Source organism: Homo sapiens, chromosome 2 (assembly GCF_000001405.40).
Source record: "Homo sapiens chromosome 2, GRCh38.p14 Primary Assembly".
In the NCBI taxonomy this organism is placed as follows: Eukaryota; Metazoa; Chordata; class Mammalia; order Primates; family Hominidae; genus Homo; species Homo sapiens.
The window spans coordinates 19,651,648-19,677,830 of NC_000002.12; the positions used below are offsets into that span (position 1 = coordinate 19,651,648).

The 26,183-nt window shown below is 44.1% G+C and overlaps 1 protein-coding gene across 3 annotated transcripts in view, besides 1 other annotated feature; it reads right to left on the minus strand.

The window, feature by feature from the left end:
• The window catches only part of LOC124905977 (uncharacterized), an 82,330-nt gene that overhangs the window by 28,813 nt on the left and 27,334 nt on the right, over positions 1–26,183 (minus strand). The window contains exons 1-2 of one of the 3 annotated variants that reach the window (XM_047446558.1): positions 22,490–22,854; positions 9,857–9,939 (exon numbers count right to left, since the gene is read on the minus strand). In XM_047446558.1, the coding sequence (XP_047302514.1) occupies positions 9,857–9,939; positions 22,490–22,658 (252 nt within the window). In that variant the 5' untranslated portion in view covers positions 22,659–22,854. Of the gene's footprint in view, positions 1–9,830; positions 9,940–22,489; positions 22,855–26,183 lie in introns of those variants that run through there. The other 2 variants (XM_047446557.1, XR_007086240.1) reach the window with 2 other exon arrangements.
• Positions 2,381–3,580: an enhancer, noted in NCBI's record as "BRD4-independent group 4 enhancer chr2:19853789-19854988 (GRCh37/hg19 assembly coordinates)". NCBI's record gives its function as "activates an origin of replication core promoter dependent on BRD2, P300/CBP, MED14 and CDK7 cofactors, and independent of BRD4, by STARR-seq in HCT116 cells {active_cell/tissue: HCT116}" and the evidence as "EXISTENCE:reporter gene assay evidence [ECO:0000049][PMID:35650434]".

Consider the following 26,183-nt stretch of genomic DNA (forward strand, 5'->3'; position numbering starts at 1 on the left):
CCGCCCTGGCTCATTTTCCTAGGTCACAGAGTAACAGCGTGGTCAGGGAAGAAACCAAGGAATCCACAAAGAGGAACGTGGTGTCTTTGTTGAGAGATTTTATGGCAGTTAGAAATCCAAACCGAACATTAGTTTGGAATAATGTTGACAGAAACATCCACAGCTGTGATGAAAACAAAACAAAGCTAAAAAGCAGCTCCATGGTGGTGGTGGAGTCTTGTTTTAAGAGTAGATAGAGTTATTTTTCTGAATATTTCTTTAAATTTCCAAATACATATGAGTTCCATCTTATTTTGTATCTAACCACTTATGTCATCAGCCTAATGTTGTATGTCCTTAGCAAGCCTCTCAACTTTTCTGAACTTATCTAAAATCAGAGGATTGGGCCTGGTGAGCTCTAAAGCTGTTACTGATTTCCTATGAGTGTATAATATCCCACCCCCTCCAACACACACACACCATTTTGTTTATTGATTTATAGTCTATGGGATGATGTTGCATATACGTCCTCTCCTTTGTCATCCTAACAGCCCTGGGAAGACGGTAAGCAGGGAAGGGATTATTATCCATTTTTCTAGCAAAGAAATCTCACATTCAGAGAGCACAGTGACTGGCCCAAGTACACATTGCCAGGACATGACAGAGCCATTGCTTTGAACACAGTCCTCTTACTCTGATTTAGGAACCCTTTCTACCTGTCATGCCTCATCTCTGCTGTCACCTTGCTACCACTGTCTCTCCTCATAAGCATATGCGTGCATGCGCGCATATGCACAAATGCACACACACGCACACACCCCTAACTCGCAGAGAGGCTACATTCCCCGTAAACAATGCCACTTGACAAGGATTGATCAAGAAAGAATGTTAGATGCCCAGGAACATCCATACCTTCTGTTTCCTGGGTGGAAGACAGAACGCAAGCCTGGCAACTATGACCCACTCGCAGACCTTTCTCCCCATTTCCCCTTCCATCCTGCTGTGCCCTCATGGACTCACCCCAGAGACTGCATATCTGCTCTCAGGACAGGTGCTGATGTCAGGCCCTGCCATAGTCTGAACAAGTCTATGTCACCTGCCCCTGGGGGAAAGCATTTTAGACTCTTTCTTTATTGGGGAAAGAAAGAGTAATTCATAACCTGATAGGATTAGGCCTAGTGCAGAGCTGCTAGAATGTTCACTAACTGTTGGGTTTCTGGATCTTGGAGCTAGAGGGCTTGGTGGAGGGCTAGCTTATCTCCCTGGCTTAGGAGAGTTCAGACCTGTCACAAGGCAGCAGCAACAGGAGAGACTGTGGGAGGCTGAGCCCTGCTGGAGCCCTCCCATTATGTGAGTCAGGCCCTGTGTCCTTCTATAGGGTCTTTCTGTGCTTGCCTGGGAGCAGAGCAATCCAGTCCCACCCACAAGGAAAACTGAGCCCTGCTGTCTTTGAAGCTCAGAGCTGGTGTAATGAGATTAAGAGTTCGTGGGAATTCCAGACTAAGCAGGTGACTTTGTGGTGCCAGCCTTGGACAGTAGGATGTTTGTGATTTTGAGTTACTTCTATAAATCTCTTCAAGCTCAAGGCTGTGCAGAAAACCTTGGGTGAGAGAGAGAAGGAGGATGAGTTGTGAGAGCGGGTGGATGCCCTTAAAATGCCACTAGGAAACCGCTGTGTGCGTGTCTATTTCACCACCGATTGCTGGGAACCAAAATAAAATCTCCTTTCTTGCTCCCCTCCGCATCCTTCCCCTGTGCTGTTCTCTGAGACCCAGGCTTGGGGACTGAACACATATGGGTCTAGTTGGTGGATGCTGTTGTTCTCCGAGGCTGTAAATTCAGACGGCCACAAATCAGCTTCAGCGCAACTTCAGCACCAGACACGCAGGCGTTCACATTAAAGTCCTGGTGTCCAGGCTGAAATATGGCTGCACATGTTCCCTTCTGCACTGCCGGCCTGCTGGAGATGCCACCCTGTCACAGATGGTTTATGGAGGAGGGCAGAGAGGATGGAGCACAGTGGCCAGCTACCACCCCAGCCAAGGCGCCTGCCAGCTTTGATCTCCTGCTGGTCAGCCCCACGTCATCATAGATGGTGAGCGATTCCTGACCACGTCATTGTTCGTGCTGAATGTCGTCTTCCCCAAGTAACTCTTTGTGACATCTCACTGTCACCAGCTAAATACAGAGCATTCCAGGTCCTTTGCTTTCCCGGGTGCTGACAGCTGACACAGAGCCTGCCCATCCCTTTGCATGAAAATGCTCCTTCTTGGAGGCCCTACTGGAAGAATCTGAGCTTGGTACAGGCAGGACATTATCACAAAGCAAGTTTGAAACACTGAGTTTCCTGAGTCCCAGGACATACCTGGCCTTGTAGATCAAGAACAAATATACACGTGTCTCAAAAGTGGTTTGTCCCATCATCTTGCCTTCCTGACCCCAAGAGAAGTCCACAGGCTGAGGCAGCGTGGCTGGGCCTCACTGAGGCCAAGCCCAGAGCATGAGCATGGAGTTCTCCCACCGCCTGAGGCCTCAGAGGAAACCTGAAGCTAGCAGGGCTCCTTCCCTGACCCCTCCAGTGATTCTGCATGGGCGGCTGAAGTCAAAAGACTGATAGGTATCACCTTTGCCCAGTTCCCTTTCAGGCTGGCAATCTGGAGAAGAAAGCTGGGGGGTATTTCAAGTAGTCTCATTACCACTCCGTCACCCCCACATTCATTCCCTGGCATTCACTGAGTGCTCACGTGGTGTTAAGCGCCGTTCTAGACACCACAGGGATATTAAAAAGATCTGAATTTTTGCCCTCAAGGAACTTTGGTCTTGCAAAAAGGTGAGGTGTCCGTAGAGAGCCCAAGGCTCCAACGCTATACAGCAGCTGCACAGTCAAGACAATGGGAGCTCTAAGGAGAAATGGACCCGACCTGGGAGAGTCAGCAAAGGCCTCCTGAAGATGCTGGTCTTCATCTGGGAGCCTGGTAAGTGGGCTGAATTCTGTCCCCTCAACAGATATGTTGGAGTCCTGGCCCCTAGTACCTCAGGGTGGGACCAAATTTGGAAAGAAGATGGTTGCAGGTGTAACTAGCTAGGATGAGGCCATGCTGCAGGAGGAGGTCCTCCATCCAATATCACTGGTGTCCTCATAGAGAAGACACACAGAGAGATGAGAGCCATGTGAAGACAGTGGCCATGGAAAATGGTGGTGGAGACTGGAGTGAGGCATCCACAAGCCCAGGCATGCCCAGGCGAGAGGCATGGGGCACTTTTTCCCTCAGAGTGCCCAGAATGAATCAACCCTGCCTACTGCCTACACCCTGGTTTCAAACTTTTAGACTCCAAAACTATGACAGAATAAATTTCTGTTGTTTTAAGTCCAGTGCTTAAAAGTAACGTTGTACTTTGTTACTGCAACCTTTGGAGACAAATATAGGGTTAAGTCCAAAACAAGAAGCAGGACAGGAGGGAGTCCCAGGAGCCCAGGGGTGGCAGTGAGTATTTGAGTGTCGCACAGCAAGAACCCAACCAACTGCAACAAAGGATTTCACAAGAGAAATTAGAGAAAACAAACCTGACCTCCTTTCCCCAGAGTTCCTGTGGGTGCCTCCTTGTCTTTAGGGAGTCATCCCACCCCTCCGCCCATATGGTGGGAAAAGGAGCCAGGCATGAGGCTTTATCACCTCTCCTCTGGCTTCATCACTTCTCCCTGATGCAGGGATGGGTAAGGAGTGGGCATGTAACCCAAGCAGCATGGCCACCCTACTCTACCTTCTTGGCCACAGCAATTGGTCCATGATGGACACTGCCCCCAGGAAACCCCATTCAAGACTTCTTATTTTGATTATTATTAAAACTGGTAGAAAAGAACTTTTTTCTGTCTGGTCTCAGGCCTGTGAAACATGAACTGGAAGCTGCCCGCAGCCATGTCCCCTTAATATGAATAAAAAAGAAGAGATAGAATGACCTTGTATCATTCAAGCCCCTAGTTCTGGTCACTGAGGTTCCTGGAAATGCCACCTGAATTTTTGCCTTGCTCCTTTCCAATTTTTCCATTGATTCTAGAAACTATCCCAGTAGCCTTCCCCCCTCACACAAAAACAAAAACAAATATAATTTTGTTTAAACTAACTCAAATAGATTTTGGCTACTTGCTATCAAAGGAGCCTCAACCAGGACATCATAGTAGAAAGCACATTGCCTACATCTCAAGGAGCTTTGGACACCAGGCAGCACAGAGAGAGCCTACAAGCACACGAGGCAACAGAGAAATGGGGGCTGCACTTCATCCTTTTTTCAGGCACCCACTCCTGTGATCATTTCATTAATCCATTCATGAGAGAGGAGCACGCATGGCCTAATTACCTCTTAAAGGCACCATCTACTATAATAGCAATTAAATTTCAACATGAGTTTTGAAGGGGATATTCAAACCATAGCATTCTGCCCTTGGCCCCTAAAACTCATGTCCTTCTCACACACAAAACACATTCATTCCGTCTCAATAGCCCAAAAGTCTTAACTTGCTCCAGCATAAATTCAAAAGTCCAAAGTCTCATCTAAATCAGACATGGATGGCTGAGCCCCAAAGCACAATTCATCCTGAGGCAAACTCCCTCCAGCTGTAAGCCTGTGAAATCAAAACAGGTTACCTACTTCCAAAATGCAATGGTGAGACAGGCATAGAATAGACATTTCTACAGCAAAAAGGGCCAACAAGAAAAAGGAAGGGAGTAAAAGGCCTCAAGTAAGTCCAAAACCCAATAGGGAAAACAACATTAAGTCTTTTTTTTTTTTTTTTTTTTTTGAGAAAGAGTCTCACTCTGTTGCTCTGTCACCCAGGCTGGAGTGCAGTGGCATGATTCAGCTCACTCAACGTCTGCCTCTCAGGTTCAAGCGATTCTCCAGTCTCAGCTGTGACTTACAGGTGTGCGCCACGACGCCTAGCTAATTTTTGTATTTTTTCAGTAGAGACAGGGTTTCACCATGTTGGCTGATCTCAAATTCCTGACCTTAGATGATCCACCCGCCCGGCCTCCCAAAGTGTTGGGATTACAGGCGTGAACCACCACGCCCCATAAAACAGTAAGTCTTAAAGCTAGAGAATAATCTCCTTTGATTCTACATTCTGCTTCCTGGCCACACTACTGTGGGAATTGGGCCCCCAAGGTCTCAGACAACCCCACTCCTATGGCTTTGCTGGGCTTAGCCTTCCCAGCAGCTCTCAAGGGTTGGAGTCTTACACCTGCAGATTTCCCAGGCTGGAGTTGCATACTAGTGACTCTGAAGTCCTGAGGTCTCTGAGGTGGCCTTGCTGTCTGGGCTCCACTAGGTGTTTCCCTGATGGAGATGCTATGTAGTAGCTCTACCCCTGCAGTAGGTTTCTGCCTGGGCCCCCAGGCCATCTGCAACATCTCTCCACAAAATCTGAAAGATGCCATTCTCCACAGCTCTGGCATTTTGCATAACTACAGAATTAGCACCAAACGGACACTGTTAAGGCTTCTAGCATGTACTTTTCAGAGTGGCAGGTCAAGACACACAAGAACCCAATTGAGTCATGGCTAGGGCAGAGAGGAGTGCTGTACCAGAATGCAGGGCACAGAAACCTGAGATGGCTCTGAGCAGTGAGCCCATGAGAGGCACCCTGGGCCTATGCCCCGAAATCATTCTGCCCTCTTAGAGCTCTAAGTCTGTGATGGAAGTGGGCAGCCTCAAAGATTTTTGATGGCCTTCAGAGTCTTTCTTCCACTGTCTTGATGAATACTACCTAGCTCCTTTTATCCTTGATAATCTCTTTATCAAAAATGGCTTGGCCACATCCTTAGTATTCTCTCCCAAATATGTTTTTTTACTCTTTACATGGACAGACTATAAACTTTCCAAATATTTCTATTCTGCTTTACTTTTCATTATAAATTTTGTCTTTAAGTCATCTCTTTGCTCTTGCACCTTACCGTATGCAGTTACAAGTAACCACACAGCAGCCTCAATTCTTTGTTGCTTAAATATTTCTTCTGCCAGATATCCTAGTTCTACTTCCCATAAAGCCCTAGGACACAGACACAATTCCACCAAGTTTTTGCAACTACATAAAAAGGATAAACTTTACTTTCATTTCCAATACTTTGTTCTTCATTTACATCTAAGACTTCATCAGAAGGGCCTTGAGTATCCATACCTCTACTAACATTCTGGTCATGACCACTTAAGTAATCTCTAAGAAGGTTCAGATTTCCCATGCAGCTCTCCTCTTCTGACCCTTCACCAAAAACACCCTTAATGCTCTGTTTATGGCAATACAGGCTTTTCTTAGCATTCTTCTTCAAACTCTTCCAGTCTGTACTTATTACTGAGTTCCAAAATGGCTTCCACATTTTCAGGTATTTTTGAGTAGCAACAGCTCCACTTCTTGGTACCAATCTTCTGTCTTAGTCTATTTTCTGCTGCAATAACAGAATACCACAGACTAGATAATTTAATAAAAATGGAAGCTTATTTGGCTCAGGGTTGTGGAGACTGGGAATTCCAAGAACATGGTGCTGGCATCTGGTGAGGGTCATCCCATGGCAGAAGCATAAGGCAGAAGCAAGAACGCAAGAGAGAGAGAGAAATGGGAACTGAACTTCACCCTTTTATCAGGAACCCACTCCCACAATAACTAACCTATTCCCACAATAACAGCATTGATCCATTCATGAGGGCCATGGCCTAATCATGTCTTAAAGGTCTTATATTGTAATACTGTTACAATGGCCATTAAGTTTAAAAATTGTTTTTGGTGTTTTTGGAGGGGACATTGAAACCACAGCAACAACCTTCTGAGAAGCAGCAGCACAGAAGATATTATTCTCAGTAAAATCCTTCATTTCCCCAAAGATTAAGAGCCCTTGCTATAAGCAATGAGGAGCCCTTACAAAGATAAGAACCACAGAAAGTGTCATCCTTCACTGACAATAAGTGAGCACCCTCAGATACCCAGTCATTTAGTCAACAATCCCATAGTCAACCCCATAGTCAAGAGCTGTTAGGAGTGGGAAGATAGACATAATAGAATTTTATCCTCCAGAGGTTGCTGTCAGCTAGAGGTGGTGATAGGCATACACATAATCTTGGTCAAAAGTCATACCAAGAAAGAAGGGTAAATACTGCTTTGGCAGCTCAGGAGCTAATGCTTAGAAGTTTTCCTTCCTCCTTAATCAAGCAGTTGTGCTGCAGTAAATAGAGCCCTGGACAGATTTTTCCGTTATGAGTTGACCTCAGGTAAGTTACTCCATTTCTCAGAATCTCAATGTCTTCATTTTTTAAATGGATATAAGAATCCTGCTAGGCTACCTCAAAGGATTGTTGCAAGGTTCTAACAAGAGAGAAAATATCTATTAAATTGTTTAGAACCTGAAAACCCTTAGGCAAAATGCACTCCACAGTCTCTCTTTAGGAGAATCCAGTCTTTAAACCTAGCTTCCTGCCACTCAAAGTGTGACCCATAGTCTATGCTGATTTCCAGATCTCAAACTCTATCTCAAAAGTTGGAAATCCCAATTTGCAAGATCCTCCAGGTATGCAAATTAAAGTTTGTACGTGTATGCAAGTTAAAGTTTGGCAGCACTCATCTGGGCTGTTCTTAGCATAATGTTATTATAATCTGACAGAGAAGAAAATCGACTTTAGGGCATAGCTGATGATAAGGGAACAAAAGCAGGGACCAGAGTTGCCCAGGTATGTTTTGGGCTTGCTGCCACTCAAATCAAGCTGGGCCTCCTCAGAACAGAGGATGTGCACAGGGACATTAGCTGCCTGGAGCACTAGATGCAGGAGCCACAGTCTGGGAGACAAATCTAGAACCAGTCTTTGGTGCACAGAAACCTTGGTCCTGCTGGATGCTGCCGCTGCTGCAACATGGACATATGGTCTCCTTATTTCTCAGGTCAGAGTAACACCAGCATAGTTGCATATATCAGCACACTCACAGGGGATTAGCAAACATCTGGAGAGCACAGTCCCCTGTATTTTGCTAGTTTTAGGAGCAAGGAGCACAAGGGGGTTCTCAGAGTGCCTGTGTACAAGCCCAGCCCACCAAAGTGTCAGTGGGGTGGGGCAGTTCCTGGCTGTCAGTAGCCCCATCACTGGCTTCCAAGTTACCATAGCCAACAAATAAACAACAGAGTTGAGAGTCTAGGGCAGCAAGGTCCAGGCGATGCACCATAGAAATCAGGATCTGTCAGGTAGCAACAGCAGTTAGGCCAAAAGGATCCCCCTGGTTCAGTTAGTTTTAGAAACACCACGTTGAACAATGTTAAACTTGTTCCTTTACAGGAGACCAATGCAAGTGTACATCACGAATCTTGAAAAGGAACATATGTAGGCTTTATTTTCTGAGCAGTTTTGATCACAGAACTCTTCTTATCCTACTTTAGATAGAAAGTCTTCAGAGCAGACTCTGAGAAACACTAGCAAAGATGGGAGGCAAGAGAGATCCCTTCAGGGAAGGAAGATGGCCCGTGAATGTCTATAGCAGGAGTTCTAAGGGCTTTTTTGTTTAGGGTAATCAAGCAATCAAAGCATATAGATGTTTCCATCAGACATGCCTGCTGTAGTTTGAAGGTTTGTCCCCCTCCAAATCTCATATTGAAATTTGATCCCCAATGTTAAAAATGAGACCAATGGGAGGTGCTTGGATCATGGGGATGGAGCCATAATGAATAGATTAATTCACTCCCTGGAGGAAGGATGAGCAAGGTTTTCACTCTATTAGTTCCCAAAAGAGCTGATCGTTTCAGAGAGCCTGGCACCTCCCCTGTCTCTCTCTTGCTTCCTCTCTTGCCATGTGATCTCAGCACATCCTGGCTCCCCTTCACCCTCCACCATGAATGGAAGCTACTTAAGCTCCTCACCAGATGCCCAGTCTTAAACCTTCCAGCCAACAGAAATGTGAGTCGAATAAACCTCTTTTCTTTATAAATTATCTAGCCTCAGGTATTCCATTATAGCAACATCAAACAGGCTAAGACAAAGCCAAATGCATCAAGGGGTCCGCTATGATAATAACCACCATCAACATGTAATGAACACTCACTGTGAGGTAGGAGGTGCATTAGGAGGCGCATTAGGAGGCACATTAGGAGTGGGGCTTTATGCACATTGTCTCGCTGAATACTCTGAACTACTATTTAAGGAAGCTACTACAATTCTCATCCTCATTTTCAGATGATGAAACTAAGGCTTTAAAAAGTCAAATAAGTTGCCTTAAGTCTTACAGCTAGTTAGTGGTACTAGTTAGTGGTAAAGCTGAATTCCAAACTAGATCTGACTTCATACGCCTGTTAAAATGCCATAAAAATTCCTTAGTCCTTGGGACACAGGAAATATTATGCCCCAGGAAAGACTAGTTGCTTAGCTCGTAGGGTCACCTTTGGGGCAGGGAGTTATTTCTGGTGGCTCTGGACAGGACACATGGAGATCAAAGCCCCAGCTGATGTGCAGGGTTCACCGCTCCTTGGTTTTGTGTTTTAGGTTTATCAACCTCATCTTGTCACCATATTTTCATATGGTGACTTCATCAAACTGACCATATGGTGAATGTAAAGACCAGGAAATTCAGGAACACTAGTCATAGAGCTTGTGTCAGTTTGCTGGCATTAATCTCCATCCCTCTACCTCTGTAATTAGCTATTAGTTGGGTGAAATGAGTAACTCCTGTGCCTCACACATCCGTCAAGGCACTATTTTTATATTTACCAATTACAAACTGGAAAATAGTTTGTCACTCTCAATCAATAAACCTGGTATTTTGCCAGAAAACTACTAAAGCGTTTTTCTCTGTGCAAAAAAAAAGAAAAGAAAAACTTCCAAAGACTTGCCTCAAGCAAACAAACAGGCCACCCACTTTGTCATGAATGAATCCATGGCTTCCATGGGAACTTTTCCTTCTGAGTATAAGAATCGCCTTTCCATATGCCATCTTCATTTCTAGTAGAAGAAGAAAGAAAAAAAAAGAAACCCTGAAGTCAGAATATTTCAGATGCAAGAGAGTATTAAAAAAAAAAAGAAAAGAAAACCATCTGTGAGCAGGCAACAAGTTTTCCTGCCCTGGTTCTGCTACTAACAAGTTGGCGACATCTCCCCTAATAACTCCCCACTTTCTCACCTATAAAATGAGGGGTTGTGGCCGAGTGCGGTGGCTCATGCCTGTAATCTCAGCACTTTGGGAGGCCGAGGCGGGCAGATCACCTGAGGTTGGGAGCTTGAGATCAGCCTGACCAACATGGAGAAACCCCTTCTCTACTAACAATACAAAAATTAGCTGGACATGGTGGTGCATGCCTGTAATCCCAGCTACTTGGGAGGCTAAGGCACGAGAATCACTTGAACCTGGGAGGCGGAGGTTGCAGTGAGCCAAGATGGTGCCACTGCACTCCAGCCTGGGCGAGAAGAGCAAAACTCTGTCTCAAAAAAAAAAAAGAGGGGTTGTGTCACTAATACCTCAGACCTCCAGCTCATGGATTCCATGGTTGGTGGACCATATGATGACATTTTTACACCAGCCTCAGTGCAGAATACTAGGCAACACAGATCCCCCTGCTTCACCCCAGGGTAATGTCACAGTTTTGATCAGAAGAATCGCAAAACAAGAAGCTTTAACCTAAACCATTTCAGACAGATGGGACTCCAGCCTCCTTTTCAAGTTATTTTAAAAGGGTATCCCAAATACTACACAATAGTCTTAGTGTCTAAATAGCATTCATGGTCTGCAAGTTCCTCTTTGTCTGTGGTCTAAATTTTTCTACTAAAGTAAAAAATTAAGAACAGCTTTCTATTATATTGTCGGTCATGAAATTATTTATGTTTGGTTATAGTTAATAAATTGCTTTCCAATCTGTTACTGTCTTATTTCATTTTTATTATTAATTTTAAAATTATTAATTATTTTAAACATGGACAAAAGTGTCTTAGTCCACTCAGGCTGCTATAACAAAATACTATAAACAGAGTAGCTTATCAACAACTGAGTACCATACCATAAACTGAGTAGCTTATAAGCAAATTTATTTCTCACAGTTCTGGGGGCTAGGAAGTCCAAGATCAAGGTACCAGCACATTTGGTGTCTGGTGAGAGGTCTCTTTCTGGTTCACAGATGGTGGCTTCTAGCTGTGTCCTCACATGATGGAAGGGGCAAGGCAACTCTCTGGGGCCTCTTTTATAAGGACACTAATTCCATTCACAAGGGATCTGATTTTATGACCTAATCACTTCCCAAAAGCCCTATCTCCTAATACCAACTGATTGGTGATTAGGTTTCAATATATGAATTTTGGGGTGACACTAACATTCAGACTATAGCAAAAAGTGTTGGAAATAATGTAGCAGAGACCTGTATACCCACTTCCCAGATTTCATACATATTCGTATTTTTTCAGTTTTTGGTAAATTAAAAAAGAGCAATTGTTTTTAAAAGATATAAAACACTACAAATATAGTTAGCAACCTCCCAACTCCTAATCCTCTCCCTTTCTTCAACTGCAAAGGCAACCACTATTAGAAATTGTTCTGTGTGCCTCTCAGGCAGATTTTTATACGTTTACCACATATGTATACACACAGTAATATAAAGCACTGTTTAGAAATTTTAAATGGATAGAAATCGTACCATATTGAATACATCATTTTAAAAATTGTGTTTTTTCTCAATGAATGTTCTTAAGATTCATCAGTATAGAATGTATTTTTATATAATTAAGTTGATCCCAAGGTTTTTGCTATTATAGGCAATGTTATTACAGACTAGGAACATACTTGTTAATGTACCTTTTACAAATATAGGACATTTCTCTAAGACATACACCTAGAAGTACTTGCACCAAGGTACACTTTTACCAGCACTGTATAATTTCCTCATTTTCTTTCCTTTTTTTTTTTTTTTGGACAGAGTTTTGCTCTTGTTGCCCAGGCTGGAGTGCAATGGCGCAATCTCAGCTCACTACAACCACCGCCTATCAGGTTCAAGCAATTCTCCTGCCTCAGCCTCCCCAGTAGCTGGGATTGCAGGCATGCCACCACACCCGGCTAATTTTTGTATTTTTAGCAGAGACAGGGTTTCACCATGTTGGCCAAGCTGGTCTCAAACTCCTGACCTCAGGTGATCCACCCACCTCAGCCTCCCAAAGTGCTGGGATTACAGGTGTGAGCCACTGCCCCCTGCCAATTTCCTCATTTTCTACATCTTTATTTGTAACACTTGGTTGTGTCAGACTTTTCCATTTTTGCCAAATGGATGAGTGTTAAATGGCATTTATTGTTTTCCTTCATTCTCATGAGTTTGAGCATCTTCTTGTATTTTTACTGGACAGTAATGTTTTCTGTGAGTTGCCAAACAAAATTAGTTGATTATTTGTATTCAGCTACTTTTCTCACTCTTGAGCTACTGTTCTTGCCGTTACTGATTTGCAGGAACTTTCTAATATGTTTCAGATACTAGTCCTTTGTTAGCATATGTGGTGAAAACATCTCCCATTCAATAGCTTGTCTTTCCCTTTGTCTATGGTTTCTTTTATCATGCAGAAGTTTGTAATTTTAATATAGGCAAATGTATCAATTACTTGCTTTATGATTTGCTTTCTCTGTGTTTTGTTCAAGTATTCCATCCCTTTCCTGGGGTCATAAGTACATCCTCCTAGCCAATCTCACATAGACTATATGGTCTCAGTGTCCACCATCTTTCCTCTTCAGTTCTTTTAAAAAAATCACAAAGATTATTTGGACTATTACAAATTAATGTATGATTATTCCAAAACACCTGGGAAAAGCAGAAAAAACAAATCAGTACATTATCCTCTAAACTTCGTTTTTCCCATCTGTAAGATAAGAACAACAACAATTACTGCATTTGGGTTGTTTGCATCCCAATTATATCAAAATTCTCATGTCAGGCCTCTAGCTGGCAAAAAAAAAAAATGTATATATATTTTCTTAAATAGTCCTGTGTGCCCCTGCACTATTATATACCAGTGTGCAAAAAATCCTGGGGAAATGAAGGAGCAGAGCTATGGACATTGACTTACTGACTCAAGCCTGAGTGATGGGCAGGATCCCAGCAAGACGAATTCCATGAAGTCAGTAAAGCTGCTACCAAACCATAGCAACACCCATTCTAGGTTGTGCTCCAGTAGTACCTGGACTTCTTCCTTTTATAACCACACACTATTCAGGCAGTGACTAAAAGGGCATGGAAACTACTTGGAGAACAAAAGCCACCAGCTGACCTCATCCTCAGTACTTCCCTGGTCAGAGGAGTTAATTAGCCAAAGGGAAAACAATCGACTTTTTTGGTATTATATAATTCCATTGTATTTTTGCCAGGTATCGGATTTCACCACCCACTACCATGGTGTCACGTCATGAAAGAACTTATTGTTAAACACACAGAACAAGGAGAGCTCATAACTTTGCAAGAAGTATAATTCCACATTTTTTGTCTCATTGCAATTGAAATCTTCAGGTCAATAGGTAATTACATTAACGCAACATGTCCTATTTCATATGAACACTGCTCACGTTGAGAGGGCCCTCGCCTGAAGAAAGACTATTTTTAGGAAGCTTGGCAAAGAAAATTGATGTTTTCAGCCCAAACATGCACTGCCAAATAACTAACTCCACCAAATTCCTTCTTACCAAAAAGGAAAAAAAGCAACAAAATAATAAAATCTTCCTTTTCACTATTTTGGGAATTATCTTCCCATGTCTAACTCCCTTCAGCTTTCAGAATCACCTTCACACAACTGTGAGCAAAGCTTCCTTGTAGGATTGTGAAATTTGAAAGACAAATGGGAGCTCATCTGATTAGAAACTCTCATCCTTCCATGCCTTGGAGGAATCACAGAACTTTTTTGTTTAAAGTGAAAATCTGATTAGAGAAGGACTGCATTTACCTTCAAGGACCCCAGAGCTATGGACTTTAGATGAAGGAAATCTCCAACTGTTCTCGGACACACTAAAAATCCTTTAAAACATAAAAAGTAAACGCTTCTATGCACCCTATATAGTTGCGCAAAAATAATCTTTATGATACTTTTAAAATAACTGAAGAGGAAAAATGGTGGACACTGAGACCATATAGTCTACGTGAGATTGGCTAGGAGAATGTACTTATGCCCCCAGGAAAAAGGACTACTTGTATATCATGTCCATAAAGATTATTTGGACTATTATGAAATTAATGTACCATTATTCCAAAAGATCCAGGAAAAGCAGAAAAACAAGTCAGTACATTATTAGACCACTTTAAAAATAATTATTATTACCCTTTCAGGAAACTATAGCACCTAGCACAGAAAGACATCGAGAGAGAGAAAACTAAAGTTTAGCGAGTGTCTACTCCAGCCTCTCCAAAATCCACAGTTTGCCTTTCAAGATTCTCCATAATTTGACCCTAGCCTATCTTTCCATACTTAAGCTGTACTCTATCCTATCTGATCTGTCTGGTCATCACTGGCCTTTTCTCTTTCTTATGCCTAGATGAATCTTACTGATCTTTTAAGTCCCAGATAAAGTCCCAGGTCATCTATTAATAGCAAACCATCCCTAACAACTTAGCTTCTTTGTTTGTCATCAGTATTTATTAACCACACCATCCCATCAACAATTACCTTGTATTATTAGTCTTCATGTATGCATTTCTGTTTTATATTCCCAACTAGACTTTAAACTTATCTTGAGGAAGACTAGGCCTGGCTCTTCTTCCCTCTATACTTCCTCAAGGGCACTATAGCATAATCTTCAAGAGAAGGGTTCTGTAGTTAGAAGGCCCATGTTCTAATTCTGGCTCGAAAGAAACAAAGTTGAGTTCCAAAGTCCTCAACATGTAAACACTTTGGAATCATATAAGGCAGAGTAAATCCTTCTTGCTCGATAGCTTCAAAGACACTGTTGTGGGCCTGGCGCAGTGGCTCACACCTATAATCCCAGCACTTTTGGAGACCAAGGTAGGCAGATCACCTGAGGTCAGGAGTTCAAGACTAGCTTGGCCAACATGGTGAAACCCCATTTCTACTGAAAATACAAAAATTACCTGGGCATGGTGACGGGCACCTGTAGTCCCAGCTTCTTGGGAGGCTGAGTCAGGAGTACCGCTTGAACCCGGGAGGTGGAGGTTGCAGGGAGCCGAGATCGCACCACTGCACTCCAGCCTGGGTGACAAAATGAGACTCTGTCTCAAAAAAAAAAAAAAAAAAAAAAAGAAAGCACTTGTGTTATTTGTGTTATTCTCCCTGTATCTGCTCAGTATAATAAGGGATGGTCTAGTGAGATTCCTGAGTGAGTATCCACAAAGAAGGTGGTCATGAGGTAGATTCTTAAAATATCCCTTATTTACAAAATTATTCTACATGAAAACAATTCCCTGAAGTTGCAAATAAATTGTTATGCATGATTGAAAGCAAACACCCAACCTTCAAACTTAAAACTGGAAAAGTGGTTCATATATTCACTCTCATAAGAGAAGCAGCAATTAACTTTTAAAAAAAATACCTATCCTGGTTTTTATCTGAAAACCAGACATTTGAAAACAGTCAATGACTTTTAGCTTTCCAGAGCATTTTGGCTTGATTACTCAACTTCAGGAAGCAAAGATTTAAAAAATCTTGCCATTCGTATATTTTAAGAGCCGCTGACACCTAATGGAAGGTTTTGAAAGAACATGTGGTTTCTGGGAAAGTGTGATACCAGTGGGCAGTTCTTCTCTCCAAAGACATTCTATCATTTCTATCCAAGAGAGTTGTCCTGGAAGCTGACCCCAAGGACGCAGTAGGGGTTCCAGAAAGCTCTGGTCTCAGGAGTCTGGAGATAAAGATGAATGGGACTGCAAGAATTAATATTTGTGTGGAATTTTTCTACCTTACATTGTTTTCCTAGTTGCTTAGAGGTGTCTTTTGCAGGCCTTGAATGGAGAGAAGATGCCTGTTTGGGGTGCCCCAGTCGAAAAGCCTGATTAGTAATGGCCGGAGCTGAGAACAGCTTTCCACAGGAAGTACGCTTTGCCTCAGCGTTGGAAATCAGTGTGGCGCCTGCTATAGCCAAGTGTCCCTGCAGGACCCCACTGGGAAATCACTTGAGTTTTACGAGGTTAGCTGCAGTTTTTGTGTAAACAACATAACGTTTTATGGTGGGAAACCTAGCCCTTTGCTTTTTATGTAAAAGCATCGATTAAGGCTTTTTTAATGTTTGAAATGTAAAGAAGTGTGAAAAACTAATGTTGTTTCAGAAATGGTCCAAGGAAAAAGATAATGCAGTAGCTACAAGTTTAATGACCTTTCTCATAAAATTATGTGGGGGATTTGTGATAAGCATGGTAATAAAAATGGTTTTGTTGCCTCTAATTCTCCCGGTTGTGGATTAAATGTTTTCTAATGGATAGTACCACTGCTGTCTATATTCATTATTTATTCCATCACTAATTTATTTCCAGAAGGAATAACAGTAAATTCAGATATTAATTAAAATATTTTAAATAGCAAGATTTCTTTTATTTTGTGATTTTTTTAAATGAGGATTTTTTTTAATTGGGTTGTTACCAAAATTACCTTTTGTAAAAGACAACTTAAGTAAAAACCAAATTCAAATGTCAGATACATGTTATTATACATTTATCAAAACCCATGAAATAAACAACACCAAAAGTGAACTTTCATGTAAACTACTGACTTTGAGTGATAATGATTTGTCAACGAAGGCTCATCAGTTGTAACAAATGTACCATTATGGTGACCCAAATTGATAGTGGGGAAGGATGTGTTTGCAGGACAGGAGGTTATGGGAGCTTTCTGCATTTTCTGCTCAATTTTGCTGCAAACTCAAAACTGCTCCAAAAAATGTAAGTCGATTTAAAACATTCATCACAGAAGGTAGTGCGTGTTAGTGCCGAGGGTTAATTTCGTTTTCTGGCTATCTGTGGTTGAAGCCTAAACTTCTGTTTATACCTTTGTGATGTGTTTCAAGTTTTTCTAAAATGCATTAGCCCTGGTGCTAGGCATGGTGGCTCCCACACATGAGTACAGGGGACTCATTTTCCCCAGAGTCCCACAAATAGGACTAGGGACAAAGAGGGAGATTGTCCTGACGATGATGCCCCCAAGGAGGCATACCCTGTATATTGCTTTCCAGACTAATCCTTTGGCACAGGTGTACTATGTTGCTTTTTCTTTTCTTTTCTTTTCTTTTTTCTTTTTTTTTTTTTTTGCCTTTTTCTTGTAGATGCTGTGGTTGGAGAAAAAAGGAGAAACCCCAGTTGACCTTTTCTGAGGGCTGCTGGTTCTTGAGTCTCTGGTAATTAAGTCCTGACCTTACCAAGGGTTTAGCTGCATGTGATAACATGTGACCATTATCAAACTGACCAGCTTTATCCTCAGGTTTTCATACAAGAAAACAATATTTCAAAGGTCAAAGCAATTACTGGGATTTTCAGAACACTTTTTATTTAAGGCTCATGAGCATGTTAGGGCAGAATGTGATTGTCTGCTGTAGTTTGGGCAGCACTGATTGGCAAAGGAAAGGATGGGCCAGGTGAATGGTGCCCTGCAGAGAGGACTCTTATATGAAGAAGATGCCTATTTCTTCCAAACCGGGCAGAGCAGATGGGAAATCTCTAGGAATAAGATGCAGCAGGATGGACGCAGAGAGGGACCCTGCTGTGGTCACTCAAGTCCTCAACACACTCTGGCATGCATCCTCCTTCCTCAAAGAGCACTCAGCGTTCGGCCCATGGTTAACAGAAACTTCCTGATGCATGCCTTTCCGTGACAAGATCAGGGGATATCAGGGTGATGGCAACACTGAAGGATGATGGGGCATCACATCGGTCTATCAGTATGGTTATTTGTGTCTAAGACGTTCATTCAGTGTGCCATGATCCAAGTTATGCTGGGAATACAAATTCAAATAGGACATGCAACCACGTTCAGTCAGTTTACAATCTCACTTTATACATCATCCGTCTTGAGAGAAGCAGAAAGAAAGCAGACATATCTTCACCAGGCTCAGTTCCCGTGTTCTGCCAGAACGCACAGCTGCCGCCCTGTCTGCCCTGTTGCTCTGCCTTTGACCTCAGGGCTGACCTGCAGAGACCACACTTATTAAAGGAGGCAGGTCATTTACTCCTGTTCTTGCCACATGTTGGCCTGTTATGGGCCGACACTGCTGAATTACATGTGGTGTTTTATGAGACGATCAAGTGTCAAGTAGCAATGGAGTGAAAGCTGCCATACAGATTCTGACACAGACCACAAAGCAGGGGTCCTCAGAGCCTTCCTGGTCCTAGTGACGCCACTGGCTGCTGCCCGGGGTGCCCTCATTCGTGGCCAAATGTAAGATCATTGTGTTTTTGCCATGGTCCCCCCAAAAACTTAAAACCTTAGCACAACAATTCAATTTCTATATCCTTCACTTTTTCTTTCATTAAAGGAAAATCACCTCCCTAGAAAAATAAAAACAAAAGAACTTAGATAGCATTTTTTAAATGAAAAGGGGAACATTTTTTTAAATGAAAGGGAGGCGATTTTTTAAAATGAAAGAGAGATGACAGAGATAGAGACAGGTTCCCTCTTACCTCTCAAGCTAAGAGTAAAATCTGGGACTTTCAAAAAGGTATGACTCTTAGAAACTGATTAATTTTTAGATCTTAAAAAGCCATACGGTCTCTTTAAAGAGCAATGAAAGCCTGATTCAAGTTGTTAAATTTTATGTTGTGTGTAATGTTGTAATTGATGTCAAACCTTTCACATTTTCTTACCACTGACATTGGACAGTCTACTCCACTCAAGGGCTCAGTTACCGAAGTTGAGATTAAGTAACCTAACCAGGAAATAAGGGCAGAATGGAATTTTATTACATGGAATTGAGAAGTACAAATGCAAAATAATTAAGTCTGAGCCAAATATAGCCATTCTCTCTCCCATCAGTTTATTTTGGTGGACAATTGGCTGTATTCGGTATTTCACTGAGCTGCATATAAAACTTTATTGCCCTTGTAAAGTGCATGCTGTGAATTCTGATGCTTCTGTGTGTTTGGGGGAACATAATTGTTCCCTTTGCAGAATAGCATGGCTTACCTAGGTCCTGTTACCAAAGTAGGCTTCCAGGACGCCTGCTGCTGAAAGTCCCAGTGCTGGGATGTGTATGAGGAGCTCAGATCAAAGCTAAAGAAAGAGATGTGTAACAATTGGGAAAATAGCCCCCCTGAACCTCAGAACACATTAAATGCAAAGAAAAAGACACAGGTCCTATTGGATATGGTCTCTGGCAAGTTACTGCTGGGTTAAGGCTTTTGCGTTTGTTGAGGGCTTACAATAAGTTAGTCCACACTGAGTGGCTCATCAGGTCTCAGTGATTGTGACGAATCCATTCTGTATTAGCATGTGGGGTCTTTTTCGAGGCAGTCTCTCCCCTTCCCTCCATCCTCAGAGACAGAGGCTGTTTGTATACTGTGAAGGCCTGCTTTACTGTGCATCTGAGACCATAGGAGCAATATGGAATTGACCTAATTAGGATTCTTTTCTGGGAAAAACAATATACAGCTACATACGGTTTCAGTCACATTCCAAGTGCTTTCCTATTCTTTCGACTCCAACAATATGGCAGCGTGTGATGGGTGGGAGGGAGACTGTGATCAGAGGCTGCTGCTTCAGGAACAGCCCAGATGGTGGAAGGTGAGGCTGGGGGAGGGTGGGTAGCTGCATTGATGATGTAGGCTTAGGCTGTGTACAGCTCTGGGACCACAGAGCCTCCAAGACTGAACCAGGACTTCTAGCCCAAGGCTAGAATATATAAGGAGGCCCATTTACCATCATAGTCAGCAGGCCACACGTTCAAGCTCCATGTGCATCCCCACAAACAGCCACCCCTTGAGCCCACCTGGGGCCTAGGGTTTCACATATCAGCAGCCAGGTCTGCCCTCCCAAGGAGAGGACCACACAGGCTCTGGAGGTGGACTCAAGGCCACTGGAGCAGAGAATTCCAATGTCTTAGGAACCCAAAGCATGTGAGGGTGGAGTGGGACCAGGTTTAGGATGAACACATTCCATCAACCTGAAAGACTCTTTGTCCTAGGAGTGAATGGTCGGACAAGGGTCCAAGTGGAGTCCTCTAAAATGCATTGCCTTGGACAGCGTAGTACTGGCTGGAGCTGCCTTGCTTTAGATCATGCAGGGCTTCTCCTAGGTCCCCTCTTCAAGGGAAATTAGACGTCCTGGCTTTGAGTCTTAGCTCTGTTCCTCTCTAGCTGGTTGCCTTGGGGAAGGCATTTAACCTCTCTGAGCCTACCTCCTTATATGCAGAGAGTATTTAACTGTCCATTATGGTGGATCTCAGAAAGCTCACAGGAGTGGAAGGACGTGGTGGGTCATAAAGGGCTCTTTATAAATGGGACGAGCCATGTGATGCTCCCTGCCCTAGTTGGAAGAAGGTAGGTTCTTGGGATAGATTAAGAATGAGTCACACAACTGTCCCTTTCTCACCTACACCCAGGCCACAGTGGGATGAGGAGGGAAGAAGCAATCTTAGTATTGTTACAACTGGAGCCATGGCTGCAAAAGTCCCAGGGAAACATTTTGAGCCTGTTTTCCTAGTATACGTCATCCCATCAACCTAACCCCCAGCAGAGATTCTCTCCGCCTCTGGGCTGGCCTCCATAAGAGCTGCAGGGCAATGAGTGCAGGGTTCCAGAGCCTGCACTTTGAATTTTCCAGCTGGGCACTGACTAGACACACTTCAGAAGCAGAGAGGTACTCAGGTCTAATCGATCCATCTGCAAACCTCTCTAAGGCAGCAAGACTGGCCATCGTTTTTTAAACCTTGATTGTCACCCCAAGTGAATTCTCTGCTACAGGAGACGATCTCCCCAGATAATCTGGCTAGGGCAACAGACAGTGGTCCCAGGGGGAGAAATAAGCCCTGCAGTACAGATCTGGAGCCCGTCAGCCCCCACAGGGGTGGAAGTACCAAGAATGGCTAACTACACACCCATGTCATCAAACATGGTTCTCAATGGACTGTTGAGGGCACTCAGTGGACACAGAGCCATTTATCAAGGTCAGAACCCAGGCCAAGAACGTGGGTACCTATGATAGGCATGGAGAGGTGAGAGAGTTCAGGAATTCCAGGAAGCTGTTTTGGGCATGGTGTAGAGCCAAGGGCAGTTTCTGACTGTCTAGACAGTCTTATGAGGAAACTGAGCAACAACAAGGCACAGTATGGCCCTGATATCTGGCCAGCAACTCCATCCTGGGGCATTGAATATAGGGCTGGGAGTGGAAGGGAGGGTCCCCTTTCTCCTTTTGATGAATCCCTCAGAGGTAATACATGGCCACGGAATTAGCAGACCCAGAACGGTGCTTTTTGTCTTGTTCTACTGCACCAGGGCCTCTTGTTTGTGAATTAGTTAACCTTCTGTGATCCTCCTAAGAATGTCACCATCTGAGTGTAGGTACGGGCCTTTTTATTCAGAACCTCATGGTAAGGAGAGGTAGCTTTGGAATGGGGTTTCTTAACTGTAGCACCACATTTGGGGCCAGATAATGCCGTTGTAGGGGCTGTCTTGTGCACTGTAGAACGTTTAGCAGCATCTCTGGCCTCTGCCAACTAGATGCCCACAACACGTCGCCCCTCCCTCCGCAATATTCTGACAACTAAAAGTGTCTCCAGACATTGCCAAATGTCCCCTGGGGAACAAAACGGCCCCTGGATGAGAGCCACTGCCTTAGACAAATACAGATAGAAACTGAGATGACAGAGCAAAAGGGGACTGCCGGCCTCAGGGCCCCTCTGACCGATGTAAGATTGCTCAGGCAAATTCTCACACCAGCGAGCTCTAAGGCCAAGGGAAAGGAGGGCAAAGGCCACCGGGGCTCATGCACTGACAACAACCTACACTAATGCTCCCTGAGGGCCGCATGCTCCCAGCAGTGTGCTGAGCTTCTTACATGAATCATCTCTTTGACTCCACAGGAACCAGTGAAGCAGCCACAAATGTCATCCTTAGCTTGTAGGCAGGGAACCTGCGACTTAATAAAGGACAAATGACTTACTTAAGATCAAACAGCTGGCTGGCACTAAGCCAAGATTTGAACTCAAGCCAACTCAGTCTGGACCTGCACTGTTTACATCAACCCAATGACAATCTTAGTATTAAAGACAGTGACAATCTCCCAGCTGCGGGCTTAGGGGAGACATTGGACAGAATGAAAAGTAACTCCATATAGGTGATTCTGTCTGATCCTCACAAACCCTCTGTATGGTAGCAAGGTGAGAGGGAGGTCTCCGGGGCAGAGAAAGCACAGCTCTTCCTGGCCTTCCCCAGCCCAAGTAGGGAAAATAGTCAAAATCCAAGTTTCACTCAGTAGGTCTCTTCCAAAGCCACAGCTTTATCTAAAAACCGCAGCCTGCTCAAAACACCTTTGCCTGAGTGCCTATACGTGAGATCCCAGGCTTACAGCCTTAAAGACAGAAAGAGCCTCTACCCCAAGCCTAACTCACCATCCTTCGACGCCTGCAGATTCCATGAAAAGAAAACAAATATTGAATGCACAACTTTTTTTTCTTCCTTTGAAAAACAAAATGTCAGCAGCTCAGCACCGGATCCCAGGAACGCTTCAATCACATTCCAGAATTTGTTCATCATGAGGGGTTCAGGGATGGAATTCATGGAGGAATGTTTTTTCCTTTCCCCTTGCTTAAAGGATCTGAAGAGTTATTAAAAACAAAAGACGACAGAATTTCAAAAGTACATTGACAGCATCCCTTTAAAAACACACCCAAGCCTGAGATGAATGCTACAATGACAAGATACTGTACTGATTAATTATTAAAAACACATTTTGTGTGGTTTGACAGCTATGCCAGAGCAGTCTGTCTCATAGTGATTAAACCTCCATAAATGTGGTTCCAATAATGAGCTGGTACTGCATTATCAGACAATGGCGGCCTGAGTAAATCTTAATTAGTTTTGTCTTTTGAGACCTTCATTTAAATTCAAAGTCATACAAATGTTGTTCCTGAACCGAGCGACCCTCCTACCCACTATGGGCTGACACCCCCAGCCCCATGACACTCAAAAGTTCCCGGACAGAGGAGCTGGCATAGAGGATAGCTCGGGGGCGTGGGGTAGGGGGGGTACAAAACGTGGAACTGGGGCACCCACAGCTTTTCTGGGAAGCTTGCATTCCAACAGACAGACACAGCTTTCTTCCAACTGCGAGGAAGGAGAGCCTCCCTAGGCCAACAGCTAGACATTTGGGTAAAAAAATTATTGCTGAAATGTGGAGCCCTGGGAACAACAACGACAACAACAACAAAACAAAACAAAACAAAACAAAACAAAAAACGTGGATTAAAAGGAGGGGGCTCCCTGTGAGCTTGAAGTGAGGAGTGAGACGGTGGGGGTTTGGAAGAAGTCTCTGGGCAGATGGATGAGCAGGCGATGGGGCCAGCCACCCAGACTGGAGGCTTTTCAGGGCAAACAAACCGGCCAGGGCACACAGCCTTGCTTCAAAAGGCCTACAATTACTCGTTTTATTGCTCAGAGTTACAAGATGATTGTATCTCAAAAGAAGGTGACAGCGAGTTAACAGATCTGTCCCTGAGGGTGCCTGGACCAGACCTAGAGACTCCCTTCTCCAAACAGAGATGCAGGCACAATTAGGTACTTTCAAAATGAGACAGTTCTCTGCTTTGGGAACCCAGTGGAAGGCCGGTCAACGCACTGCACATTTTGGTACTAATTAACTCCTAATTTGGGAAAGGGAAAAAAGGGGTGTGTCTCTTTCAAGAATTTCTCCCTCCGGAGATGGCATCTCTGAGCAGCAGCATTTGGCAGTAAAACACAACAAATGTCAGAGCAGAGTGGCTGCGGGGCTTGGGGATTTACGACTGGGTTCCGGAATGCTGTTAGATCCCTAGCCAGAGACTCTGATTTCAGATTGGGACAGATTTGGGTAATTAGGCAAAGTCAGCGAGCCCTGTCCCGGGAGGCAAGAAGCCTGGGACCCACCTCTGCCGCTAGCCTGTTGTATGAACCTGGGCAAGTTCCTTCCCTTCTCTGGCCTTCCATTCACCATCTATCAAAAATAAAAGCGTGGGATTCATGATCTCTAAGGATACTTCCAGCCCCAAAAGTCTATGATTCCAAGATTCTAAAAAGTAGCAGACATTTACCCTAATACATACACACTCCAAAATCAATGGGACGCAGAAGTCAGTGATAAGAGATGACCATTAGAGAGTAAGTGAATTAGAGGATCCAAGAAACAATCCCTGACCAAGTGACACTGCTTTTATCCTCACTGCATTTAGCATCGTCGTGAGTCATTCTTCCTCACCATAAGCCTTCCTTGGCGTGGAGCAGAGTCCACCATCTGTGCAGAATAGCCTAGGGCTCCTCACCACTTCTCAGCCCACGCAAAGATCATTCTCCAAGAGCATCTGTTCTTTGGAGAAGGCACCTGGAACCCTTCTATCTGATCATCTCTACCCTCAGTGGTGAAGTTCCAGTTCCCATTATGAGCAGCATGTCTTGCAGGGTCTAGAAGATGCAGCAAGTCTTGCTACCTTGCTTCAGGTTAGCACACTGGCAGGTTAGCATTGGCACGGCGCCCTGGTGCCCAGCACCAGCCAGCTAGCATTTGTGCCGCTTTACGACTGCCCTTGCCCCGAAGAAAGTCCAGGCCTGGCCATTTGCTCCAGAAGCTGCCACGAATTCAGAGGAAAGACTGCACTTCCACTAGGCGCCGACAACTGCAAGTTTCAATATGCTGAACTGGCTCGGGAAAAAAATGGCACTTCTTTCCCAGATATACAATTCAAGTTTTTCTACTCCTCCCCTTTCTTCTTTTTTCTAGAAAACAATACTTGTCTTTCCTATAACGGTTCTGTTCTCTGAGAGTTACGACACAAATCACTCCTCTGGCGTTTCTCAACCATGTGTTGTTGTTGTTGTTGTTATTATTATTATTATTATTATTATTATTATTATTATTATTATTTACTATCTCTGTCCCCCACAGTAGCAGGAAGCAAGTCTGCCTTGATTACTGCTCTCTCCTCCATCTCTAGTACAGCTTTGGGTTCATCATGTTGCTTAGGGAACACTGCAGATGAATTGTCAAGTTCCAGGCTCCAGGCTGTTGGTGCTAATGGAGCTCTGAGGAGTGAGAACAGAGGTCAAGGAAGCCATCCTGGGAGGTAGCCCGCAGTTGGATTTTAAAAACCTGCCACACTTGGAGGGGCGGAGAAGAGCTTCAGGTAATCTATGGCGTGCCCCCCAAATGCCTCTCTGATGAAGATGCTCCAGTGTTTGCCTGGCCCCTGGACAGTCAGTGGGAAGACGCCACCTACACGTGAGTTGGGGGAAGCACCAGGACACAGAGCCGGTCTCCCCAGCCAGCTAAAAGGTTTAGTCCTTCCTGTAACTGGCTGACAGATCTGCTCAGGGCCCTGGTTTCCCATTTCCACTAAAATCTTCCATGCACAATACCTTTTATCTCTCCTGGACACACCAGCTCACTCCTTGTTGAGTAGCTTTTTTCTCCCCAATCTTCTAAATAAAACCTGCAGGTCTTGCCAAATGTTTACTCTATCATGCAATATTTAGCAACATGAGGGCCACAAATGGATCACAAATTGAGGAAATATTATAAGTTTGCTTTCAAATTCTGGAAGTATTTTCCAAATCATGCCCTTCTCCTCTCTCTCTCTCTCTCTCTCTCTCTCTCACGTAGACACATCATCAACCCCCTGACAATTTTGGCAGGGCCATCCCCAGCTGCCCTGGTTATAACAGAAGGCTGAGCAAGCAGTGCTGAGGGCATGTGGCTTTGGGTGGAGACCCCCATCAAAAGCTTGATGACAGGTGTGTCACTGCCTGGCACCCCGAGGGAGTGGTGTGTGCAGTCGTGTGGAGAGTATGACATTGGGGGAACCTACCTGTGAGGTGTGTGCTGGCTGGCAGTTGAGAGGCAGTGACCCAGTGTAAGTGGGAGCATGGGTATGGTGTGGTGGGTATGGTGTGTGGGAGGACCCGTGCTATGGAGGGATGGGTGGTAAAGTGTGTGGTGTGTACTGTGGTGTATGTGTGTGACCATGCATGTGCATCAGGCCGGATGTGTTTGTGTGTGAATGGTGTAGTGAGTAACTGAGGCTTGTGTGTGGGGCGGGGAGGGGTATGGGGGCGAGT